Consider the following 12,578-nt stretch of genomic DNA (forward strand, 5'->3'; position numbering starts at 1 on the left):
CATGTATAAGCTCATATATAGATTACTATGGGAGGCTGGGTGTAGAGGATCACACCCATAATCCCAGAACTTTGGGAGGATGAGGCAAGAGGATTGCTCAAGGCCAGGGGTTTGAAACCAGCCTGGGAAACATAGGGAGACACTGGCTCTACAAAAACTATATATAAAAATTAGCCGGGCATGGTGGCACATGCTTGTAGTCCCAGCTACTAAGGAGGCTAAGTTGGGAAGACCATGTGAGCCCAGGAGTTGGAGGGTGCAGTGAGGTATGATCACACCACTGCACTCTAGTCTGGGCGACAGAGCAAGACCTTGTCTCAAAAATATACAAAACACATTACTATGTGCACAAATTTACTATATACCTGGCATTATTTTTCTCTTGATGAAGAAACCTTGAACATTTTCTCCGTATGGTGTTGTGCTAAGTGCTGGAATTAAGGAGTCATGAGACACAGTACCACTTATTGAGCAGGTTATAATCTAGTTGCAGACTTAGGACAACAGGAAGAAATGTAAATCATCAAATCGCGCACCAAGTGCCAGATTTAGAGGTGCAGAAAGTGAGTATAGTTGGAATTCAGAGAAAAGGACTGGAAGTCAGAAAGAGCTCCAGAGGTGGGAACTTAGGTGGGGAGTGATGGGGGTTGAGGTTTGAATTAACAAAAAGGAGGGTGGAAGGAACTCCCAAAAGAAGAGAATAATGGGAGTGCAGACAAAGATCAAATTCTGCTCCCAGTTTGGCTAGGGAGCAGTGAGTCGTAAAGACAGGATTAGAAGCAACAGCCCATCTGGGGACCAGGCTAAGGCAGTGAGGGAGGTAGGAAGATTGATCTGGAAGGTAGAGTGTGGTATGGTACTGTGAAGTCAACTCAGGCTGGCTGCAGAGGTCTGGGCATTCCTAGGAGAGGTGGCCTGACCAGCAACACCATAAGAGAGGGCAGGACATGGCCCAAAGCATCAGTGACATCAACACTACAGATATCACTGGTTAACAGAATGAGGAGATCAACACCAAAAAATTATTTATTTTATTCCCTATGCAACTAGTCAACCAGGTATAGGTATAGGTATATACATATACAACTAATACATATACCAGGTATAGGTATATACATACACAATTTAAGAAGTTCGGGTTAATTTTGCCAAAGTTTACATAGCGTTACTTTAAACACCAACCAACCTGGTCTCTAGCATGAAGTGAATTGGGTAGATTGATGACTAGATGTTTGCCAAAGTTTGAGGCAAACCATCTCTACCACTCAAATGATTTTACTTTTCTTAATCAGATTCTATGCATTCTTTCCTCAGCAAGCTACCTTCTGGTTGAGAATTCACCTTGCCAGGTAATTTGATATGGAGAAGAATGTATTGATAAAGGTATAGCCTTAAGCATTCCAGTCACTACAAGGGGTCTAAACTGTCCTTCTACTTATCCATGGGACTCATTTAAATGTGGTTACGTGTAACCGTCAGCAAATGCCTGGTCATTCTTTGATGTGCTGGAAATCTGCCATACCCATAGGAAGGAGGCTGTGAAGCCCAGCTGTACTTCAGAGTCACCTGGGGAGCTGCTTAAAATCTCTTGGCCGGGGCGGGGGTCGGGGGGCAGCCAGCTGGCTGCACTTAAGGGAGCAGCCCCCAGGTGGACTACCACCTTCTGATACAATTGTTCTCAATTGTGGCTTCACTTTAGAATCATCCGGGAAACTTTAAAGAACCCCTATCTAGGAATTGACATTGACAGAGACGTTAAAACCTACCCACTGGGCAGAGGACATGAATTTATATCATTCATGTTCTTCGTTTCTAAGCAGAGGTGAGAACATTTGTAATGTACTGGAGTCGAGGAATTTCTATGTCACCTGCATTTAGGATATTCGATTATTTTATTCTATTTGATCTTAGACACAGGCCATAGCTTTAAGTTGTTGCTGGTTTTAAACTCTTAAGCACTCATTATTGCTTTAGAGCAGGGATGGGCACAATTTGTCTGTAAAGAGCCAGACAGTAAACAGTTTAGGCTTTGTGAGTCACACAGTCTTTGTGGTGACTACTCAGCTGCACAGCTGTAGACAAAGGCAGCCACAAATAATATGTAAACAAACGGGCATGCCTGCATTCCAGTAAAACTTTATTTACAAAGACAGGTGCAAGACAAAATTTGGCCAGTGGGCTGTAGTTTGCTGATCTCCTGCTTAAGAATGCTTGAATAATTATAACTAGCATTCAGATCTTGGGCCCATTAATACAAAACTAGTAACAAAGCATAAAAATAAAAAGTACACTCAGTCTTAGAATCTTACCCTTCGACTATCATCCTATTACCATTTACCAGAAACTCAAAACAGAGGACACTGTTTATATCTAAATGATATGGATCTACTCAGACTATGTCTGCCCCTGAGTACCACTGGCCATACTCAAACCTTCACTTGCACAGAAACCACCCACCTGATTACTCAAATTGCCCCCCTGCAAACCTCCAGGGCAAACTACAGGCCAGCGTGCAGCGCCATTCTGGCTTACATACTGGTAGAAGATGCCATGGGGATTACTTATTCATTTATTTTTATAGGGAAAAAAATCCATCTATGCTGCTTTTGAATACATTTATTCCCCATGCAATTGATCAACTAGGTATAAATGTACAACTGGAGGTCTCAAGTTTTTGGTTAAATAATTTGTACTCAACTGAGTAAGTTTGATCAAGGATCCTGCCTTGGCCACCACGTCTGGTTTCCCCTGAATGTCTTAAAATACTTAACGAATGAAAGCCCAAAGGGTGAGACTGTTTGCTAAGTGGATGAGATCTGAGCATAGACTTCACTCTTAGGCTCTGAAGCTGTGGCTGAGACGGAGCTCACTGCCCAGCTGTGCTCTCCCTAATTCCTACTCTGCAACATAAAGAAGTCCCCACATCTATAGTGCTAAAAATGATGACACCCAGTTATATGGAAGCTCAAAGGAGCTCACACTCCCCTCACCCCTGCTGTGCGCAGTTTATCTCCAATGTCAAAGTCATCACCCATGCACATTGAAAACCAGTGTCAGACAGGGTAGTCTCCTGCGGAAGAGGAGTGCAGACTTTTCCCTGAACACAGCCAGCAATCAATCCATCCCAGTTCACCCACAGTGTAAAGGAAAATAAAATTAAGCAGAAGTTTCAGCCTTGGATGTGTGCTTCTGAGCTCAGTTACCAGGATTCCTTATGACAGCTCCGTATTGTACTCACTTGGAAGTGTTTTCAAGTATTCCTTTGACTTCATTTATTTCTTCTTTCCCAAAGTAAACAACAGTGAGATGGACTCTCCCATCCTGCTCAATGCACATCTCCCTGGAAAACAAAACACATGCATGTCTGGCACCTGTTTTCACACTGACAGGCACAGCACAAACCAATACCTTTTTGTAAAGTGCAAAAGGGTCTTGAAGGAAACTAGGTAAACTTCCAGGAGAGCCGAGATGGGAATCCAGAACCTTTCTGGTTGGCCATTCCAACTATCTGTATTTGTATTCATCTTATCGGGACAACAAGGAAATTTAAACATGCAGTAAATCAAAACTCTGATGCAAGGCACCTCAGGTCCAATCTGCCACAGTCCTAGCCCACCGGGCCTAGACAGTGTCATGGAATTGGGTCCTTGGGGTCCCTGGTTCTTACCCCATAAAAAGACTATTTTAGACCAATATCCTTGATGAACATTGATGCAAAAATCCTCAATAAAATACTGGCAAACCGAATTCAGCAGCACATCAAAAAGCTTATCCACCATGATCAAGTGGGCTTCATCCCTGGGATGCAAGGCTGGTTCAATATATGCAAATCAATAAATGTAATCCAGCATATAAACAGAACCAAAGACAAAAACCACATGATTATCTCAATAGATGCAGAAAAGGCCTTTGACAAAATTCAACAACCCTTCATGCTAAAAACTCTCAATAAATTAGGTATTGATGGGACGTATTTCAAAATAATAAGAGCTATCTATGACAAACACACAGCCAATATCATATTGAATGGGCAAAAACTGGAAGCATTCCCTTTGAAAACTGGCACAAGACAGGGATGCCCTCTCTCACCACTCCTATTCAACATAGTGTTGGAAGTTCTGGCCAGGGCAATTAGGCAGGAGAAGGAAATAAAGGGCATTCAATTAGGAAAAGAGGAAGTCAAATTGTCCCTGTTTGCAGATGACATGATTGTATATCTAGAAAACCCCATTGTCTCAGCCCAAAATCTCCCTAAGCTGATAAGCAACTTCAGCAAAGTCTCAGGATATAAAATCAATGTACAAAAATCACAAGCATTCTTATACACCAATAACAGACAAACAGAGAGCCCAATCATGAGTGAACTCCCAGTCACAATTGCTTCAAAGAGAATAAAATACCTAGGAATCCAACTTACAAGGAATATGAAGGACCTCTTCAAGGAGAACTACAAACCACTGCTCAATGAAATAAAAGAGGATACAACCAAATGGAAGAACATTCCATGCTCATGGGTAGGAAGAATCAATATCGTGAAAATGGTCATACTGCCCAAGGTAATTTGTAGATTCAATGCCATCCCCATCAAGCTACCAATGACTTTCTTCACAGAATTGGAAAAAACTACTCTAAAGTTCATATGGAACCAAAAAAGAGCCTGCATCGCCAAGTCAATCCTAAGCCAAAAGATCAAAGCCGGAGGCATCACACTACCTGACTTCAAACTATACCACAAGGCTACAGTCACCAAAACAGCATGGTAGTGGTACCAAAACAGAGATATAGATCAATGGAACAGAACAGAGCCCTCAGAAATAATGCAGCATATCTACAACCATCTGATCTTTGACAAACCTGACAAAAACAAGAAATGGGGAAAGGATTCCCTACTTAATAAATGGTGCTGGGAAAACTGGCTAGCCATATGTAGAAAGCTGAAACTGGATCCCTTCCTTACACCTTATACAAAAATGAATTCAAGATGGATTAAAGACTTACATGTTAGACCTAAAACCATAAAAACCCTAGAAGAAAACCTAGACAATACGATTCAGGACATAGGCATGGGCAAGGACTTCATGTCTAAAACACCAAAAGCAATGGCAACAAAAGCCAAAATTGACAAATGGGATCTAATTAAACTAAAGAGCTTCTGCACAGCAAAAGAAACTACCATCAGAGTGAACAGGCAACCTACAGAATGGGAGAAAATTTTTGCAACCTACTCATCTGACAAAGGGCTAATATCCAGAATCTACAATGAACTCCAACAAATTTACAAGAAAAAACAAACAACCCCATCAAAAAGTGGGCGAAGGATATGAACAGACACTTCTCAAAAGAAGACATTTATGCAGCCAAAAACACATGAAAAAATGATCATCATCCCTGGCAATCAGAGAAATGCAAATCAAAACCACAATGAGATACCATCTCACACCAGTTAGAATGGTGATCATTAAAAAGTCAGGAAACAACAGGTGCTGGAGAGGATGTGGAGAAATAGGAACACTTTTTACACTGTTGGTGGGAATGTAAACTAGTTCAACCATTGTGGAAGTCAGTGTGGCGATTCCTCAGGGATCTAGAACTAGAAATACCGTTTGACCCAGCCATCCCATTACTGGATATATACCCAAAGGACTATAAATCATGCTGCTATAAAGACACATGCACATGTATGTTTATTGCGGCACTATTCACAATAGCAAAGACTTGGAACCAACCCAAATGTCCAACAATGACAGAGTGGATTAAGAAAATGTGGCACATATACACCATGGAATACTATGCAGCCATAAAAAAATGAAGAGCTCATGTCCTTTGTAGGGACATGGATGAAACTGGAAACCATCATTCTCAGCAAACTATCATAAGGACAAAAAACCAAACACTGCATGTTCTCACTCATAGGTGGGAATTGAACAATGAGAACACACGGACACAGGAAGGGGAACATCACACTCTGGGGACTGTTGTGGCGTTGGGGGAGGGGGGAGGGATAGCATTAGGATATATGCCTAATGTAAATGACGAGTTAGTGGGTGCAGCACACCAACATGGCACATGTATACATATGTAACAAACCTGCACATTGTGCACATGTACCCTAAAACTTAAAGTATAAAAAAAAAAAAAGACTATGAAGTACGAAAGATGAGAAAGCTAAAGTCCAGAGAGGATGAGACTAGAATCCTTGCCCATGACTCTCTTTTCTTATGTGGGCCAAACACAGAGTCTTAAAGACTGAATGAGCAAAGGTCAACAGTCATTCTCCTGTTTAGGACTCTAGAGTGCCTTGGAAGCACCCAATGTTATGACTATCTGAGGAAATGGCAAGGCAGAACAGTCACTGAAGTTCACCCTTCCCAAGCAGATATCATCACCTTCACCATGTCCCCATTTCTCCTCTCCGTGACTCTAACGATCCCAGGCACCGAGCACCTCATGCTCCAGCTTTCTGACAAAACCACCATTCGGCTGCACCCTCCTGGGGCCAGACCTCTAGCTCTGGCCTGGTCCTGACCTGCTTTCCCACATCAGCTATTTGTGTTTTGCCCATGTCCTGTCCTCTCAAGAGAAAGCAGTGGCTAACCTGGGAAGGTCCTCTGCTGACGGTTTAGTTCATTTATGTATATGTGTATGTATGTAAACGCAGGTGTGTATGTGTAAATGTGAATATATGTGCATGTAAATGTATGTATGTGTAGATATGTAAATATATGCAAGTGCGTAAATCACTGTTTATGTACACATATATGCATATATTATGTACACATGTGTACAGTTTCCCCTCAGTATCTGTATTAGTCTATTCTCATGCTGCTAATAAAGACATACCCAAGACTGGGTCATTTATAAAGGAAAGAGGTTTAATGGACTCACAGTTCCACATGGATGGGGAGGTCTCACAATCATGGCAGAAGGCAAAGGAGGATCAAAGGCACATCTTACATGGTGGCAGGCAAGAGAGCTTGTGCAGGGGGATTCCCATTTATAAAACCATCAGATCTTGTGAGACTTATTCACTACCACAAGAACAGTATGAGAGAAACTGCACTCGTGATTCAATGATCTCCACCTGGCCCTGCCCTTGACACATGGAGATTACAATTCAAGCTGAGATGTGGGTGGGGATATAGCTAAACCATATTACTATCCATGAGGGACTGATTCCAGAAACCCCCTGGGGATACCAAAATCCAGATGTTCATGGCCCTTATATCAGCAGCCCCCAAATTTTGCAGCATCAGGGACCAGTTTCATGGAAGACAATTTTTCCACACTGGGGGTGGGGGTGGAGGTGGGCTTATGGTTTCAGCATGAAACTGTTCCATCTCAGATCATCAAGCATTAGAGTCTCATAAGGAACACACAACCTAGATCCCTTACATCTGCGGTTCACAATAAGGTTCACCCTCCTATAAGAATCTAATGCTACAGCTGATCTGACAAGAGGTGGCACTCAGGTGGTAATGCTCACTTACCAGCTACTCACCTCCTGCTGTGTGGCCTAGTTCCTAACAGGCCACAGACCAGTAATGGTGTGTGGACCAGGAGTTGGGGCCCCCTGTCTTATAACATGGTGTGATATTGGGATATAACCTACATACATCCTCTTGTAGACTTTAAATCATTTCCAGATTACTTTTAACACCCAACGCAATGTAAATGCTATGTAAAGTGTTTTTGTTCTGTATCATCTAGGGAATAATGACAAGGAAAAAAAAGTTTGTGCATATTCAGTACAGACGCAGCCATTCCTGTTTTGTTTTTTGGAATATTTCCAGTCCTTGATTGCTTGAATCGGAGGGTGTGGTACCCTTGGATACAGTGGGCCAACTGCATACGTGTATGTGTGTAATTTTAACCTGAGTTTCTGGAAACAAGTTAATGGAAAGGTTCTACTGGTAGGATATTTTGTGATATTGATATTTTACATGTGCTTCCATTTGGTTTCTTTTATCTCAGTGTTGGCTACTTACCCTAACCCCCAAGCAATAATCCACATCATAATTTCTAAAGATCCTTGAGCTCTAAATGCAGAGGCCAGTTTGTTCAATGCTTTTAATGATGACACCTAAAAGAAATGACCGCCTTCCTGGGGTTGCTGGGATAAATCCACAGCAATAGAAGACACGGTTCTTGCCCTCATAACACTTACTTAGGAAATCAAATGAGCTCAATTAAAACCATCAGACATCTCATGGCACTGATATAAAGAACAGGGAATTGAGAAGGTACAGCAAATGCTGTGGGGTGGAATGGCTGGGGTCAGTGAAGGAGGGATAAAGTTTAGAAAGGCAGAGGTAAGAAAGAAGAGAATTCCAGATGGAAGAAATAGGGAAGATGATACTGACCCAGGCAAGACGCATGCAGGGCTCACTCTGGTCACAGGTTTGATTCTGAGAATTCTGTCTCTTTCTGGTGGAAGAAAGAGCACCTCAGGAACCCAGAGCAATGGCAGAGATTTAAAAGCAGACAAAGGACAGGGAATAGAGGCCTAGGATGTAACGATATGTTTTGAAACCAGGAGCTCCCACTTAGCCACAGTCCCTGCAGACTGAATCATCACCAATCAACAATGAAATCCTCTGTACATAAAAGATCCCTTTTGCAAACTTCCCAGACAATGCCTTAACTTCCTCTGCCACGGTAGAATACAAGCACACACACAGGGCCAAGTGCCAGAAAAATTGCTTGAAATTTGTGCATGCAGTGGGAAAAATCCATCCTAGAATCAGGAGAGGGTCACCTGCTAAGTGTGAAGAAAAAGCATTCTCATTTTTCTAATAACATCTTTGCTGTCTCCCTCTCTGGTATTTTTAAATCCATTCAAAGAACTTCCTGTTTTTAAGCAATAAGACAGATGCTGTGACTAGGTGAGGCGTCTTAAAAAAGGCAAAGTAGAATTTGTTGTGAGGTCTACCTCCAAGGTTCCGTTGCATTCATTCGTGTACTCTTCTCTTTCATTCATTCAACAAACACTTGGTGACAACATATCATGGACCAGATACTCTACCAGTGGATCTTAAGAAATGAGTAAGACATGTCTGCCCTTGAGTTCTCCATGTACTGTGCAAAACTGAAACTATCTGTAATATAACTAACAAGTACTTTACAAGAATATGAGTCTCATACCATGAAAAACCATGGCTGGCCGGCTGAATGATCTTTGTTTTCCTCTAAATAATTCTGAGTAAACTCCATCCACTGGAAAGGTGTGTGTGTGAGAGTGTGTATGTGAGTGAATGTGTCCATATGTTTTTGGTTTGGAGGCAAAAGTTTAAAAAGTAAAGTAAGCTGGGCGTGGTGGCTCATGCCTATAATCTCAGCACTTTGAGAGGCCGAGGCAGGAGGATCACTTGAGGTCAGGAGTTCAAGACCACCCTGGCCAACATGGTGAAACCCCATGTCTATTAAAAATACAAAAATTAGTCAGGCCTGGTGATACAGGCCTGTAATAGCAGCTATTTGGGAGGCCGAGGGAGGAGAATGACTTGAACCTGGGAGCTAGAGGTTACAGTGAGCTGAGATGGTGCCAGTGCACTCCAGCCTGGGCGACAGAGCGAGACTCCATCTCAAAATAAATAAGTAAGTAAGTAAGTAAAATGCATGAGAAAGGAGGAAAATGGTATTCGTTACGTATTCAAACTCCGGGCTTTGCACGGTTATTCATACCTGGACACATGGTACCTGGGTCCCTTGGGCTGACTTACTTGCCTCTGATAGCACTTCTCTATAAACACCTTGGTAAAATTGTCTACGAAGCCTTTGCCATGAATCTCAGGAAACTCCAACTTCCTAAGATCCCTCCAGGGAGCTCATCATTTTCCCATAGTCTCCGTGCACGAGCTCCCCATTCCCACTGGGTCATTCTTCTGCCTGAACCTGGAAGCCTGAAAATTCATTCATTCATTCATTCATTCATTCACTCATTCAGTTACTGAGAGAGAGTCTCGCTCTCTCACCCAGGCAACGGTGCCATCTTGGCTCACCAAAGCATCAACCTCCCAGGTTCAAGTGATCCTCCCACCCTAACTTCCCGAGCAGCTGGGACCACAGGTGTGTGCCATCATGCCCAGCTAATTTTTGTATTTTCAGTGGAGACAGGGTTTCACCATGTTGGCCAGGCTGGTCTCGAACTCCTGACCTCGGGTGAGCCACTCGCCTTGGCCTCCCAAAGTGCTGGGATTAAAGGTGTGAGCCGCCATGTCCGGCCTGAATATTCTGTTTGTATTCCACAAAGACTCTTTTTAGGATGTTTTTTCTTAAAACAACAACAAAAATAAACCCATAAACCCATAAACCCATAAACCAGTTCTTCCCCCACATATTGTAACAAGAGAGTATGGAGAGTACAGAGGCTAATTAAGATGTATTTCCTATCACAAAACATGTATCACAGTCACTTAGACACCTATATTTCTGTTTCCCAAGAGCCAAAAGCCCTTCATGGTCTTTGAGTTCTGTTATGAATCTGCACGCCTGCCCTGTGGAGGGCCGTTGTTCGTAGCCTTAGCATACAGGTGAGGGAAGGAGTTCCAATGACCTGACAGAGCTATGGAGGCAGCAAGGCACAAAAGCCAGGTTTCCTAAGCACCTGCCTGGTAGTCAGCTCCCCAGGTCACCTGAGCCACATGAGGAATGCATCTGTTAAGTCTGACAGCTTTGAACTCACTGTCTAGGACCCCACTACAAAGCTGGGGGACTGGTATGGCCAGGTGGAAGGGAAAAGCCACAAGAAAACTCCAAACGTAAATAGGCTGTGGGGAAGGACTGTTCAACCTGAGTTTCTGATGGGAACCAGACAGATAGAATGGGCAGATATGATGGACTGGTGACAGGCTGATCTGAGGCCTGATTTGAGGAGGGGTTGTACCCTTAGGGTGATAACTCATCCTAAAGAAGTCTTTTTCAACCTCTGCACTGCTAACAGTTTAGACCCACTAACTATTGTGGGAGGTGCTGTGATGTACACAATAGGATGTGTGGCAGCATCCCTGGAGCACCCACCTATCCCAGATGTGACAACCAAACAGATCTCCAGACCTTGCCAGATGTCCCAGAGCAGGGGGAGGTGGGTGTACAAAATAGCCTTGGTTCTCGACCACTGTCTTGACGGAGAAACAAGCTCAGTAATAAAAACTGACTTGTCAGAGAGGGAGTGTGGTTGTCAAAGTGATGCACACCCCTAGGGTGGGTCCTGTTCTCCAACCAGCTTTTGTGGACTCACCTGTGAGTCCTAGAGAGACAAAGCTACAAAAAACGTGAGGCTTTCTTTACAGCAAACAAAACTATGAGGATACTGGGAGCTCAAGCCAGGACTTTTGGGGAATGTAATGGTGTTAGTGTGATAGACATGCTGGTGGTGGGTACGGTAGCAGCAGCAGCCTCATGCCATTAGGGAGTGATAGCCCCTCTGGCTGTTGTCAGAAGCATGGGTTTGCTTCAAACAACTGATGCTTGTACAGCCAGTGGAGGTTGAACTTAACATCTGCACATGTGTGAGTTATCACTGAGGATACCTAGAAAGACTGAGAGGGCCAGAGAAGGTTGGAGATCTTGCCAGAGTAGGGGAGAGAGAGAGTGGGAAAAATTGTGTTTCTTGCAGTTAAGGATACCTCTCTTTATAACTCATATTATGTGGTCTAGGGAATCGTGGATTCAATAATAAACACTTACTGGGCACCTTTGGGTGCAATTAATTATCCTCATTGTAGGAAGAGTTACAAAGGATGACCATGTATGGTCTTTGTAGTAGAACCAATCAACCAGGTTTTCCTGCGATTTTCCAGATTTTAGCAATGGAAATCCTATATCCGAGAAAATTTCTCAGTCCCAAGCAAATTGGGACAACTGGTCACCCTCCCTACTGCAGGAACTTTATAGTTTTTTGGAAGAAACAGACAACTAAAGAGCCATAATATAATGCAGGATGGAATAACCACGGTAACAGAGGTAAAATGAACTAAAAGGCTGAGAGGAGAGCACGGTTATTTCCACTGGGTGCCAGGGAAAGGGGGACTGAGGAGGAGGGGGATCCAGGCTGAGCCTTGATAGGTGAGTAGCCACCCCGCACATGAACAAGGGCAGAGGCAGGGCTTTCACAGCTGAGAAAGACACAGATGCAAGGAAATCACATCACCATTCTTTCCTGAGTCAATTTGCTACTCAAATGTTCAGGTATGTGATGAATACCTATTTAGGCTTTAAGTAGTGTCCCATGCAAATGAAATGACATGTAAAAGACCTGATGTTCCCAAACTCTATCTGTAGTCTTCTGTGGTTACAAGAAGAAATTCCTTGGCACAAAGGAACTGGAAATAAGGAACAGAGTTAGTGGGGCTAAGTAAAACCTGGCTTTAAAATCAGTATTCTTCCTTTGGTTTGGAGGGTCATCTCCCCTCCCCTGTGTCGAGATAAATTTATTAATATATAATTATTCTATTCCATCATTTGAGTAGTCTGATCAGTGTTAAGAAATGAGTGAATTTTGACTCTCAATCAAGCAATTGGGACCTATTTTCCTGACTGTCCATTTCAAAATAGAAAATGAGATCATTTTCCATTTGGTC

At 43.0% G+C, this 12,578-nt stretch overlaps 1 protein-coding gene across 61 annotated transcripts in view; it reads right to left on the reverse strand.

Annotated features, from left to right (window-relative positions):
• Positions 1–12,578, reverse strand: part of CSGALNACT1 (chondroitin sulfate N-acetylgalactosaminyltransferase 1) — a 353,748-nt gene that overhangs the window by 32,431 nt on the left and 308,739 nt on the right. For all 61 annotated transcript variants that reach the window (NR_148898.2, NR_148897.2, NR_148900.2 and 58 more), the window contains one exon: positions 3,239–3,340. Coding sequence is in view for 53 of the 61 variants with exons in the window: in NM_001354476.2 (NP_001341405.1) it covers positions 3,239–3,340 (102 nt within the window). In the remaining 8 variants the exon portion in view is untranslated. The remainder of the gene's footprint in view (positions 1–3,238; positions 3,341–12,578) is intronic.

This window comes from Homo sapiens, chromosome 8 (genome assembly GCF_000001405.40).
Source record: "Homo sapiens chromosome 8, GRCh38.p14 Primary Assembly".
Taxonomy (NCBI): Eukaryota; Metazoa; Chordata; class Mammalia; order Primates; family Hominidae; genus Homo; species Homo sapiens.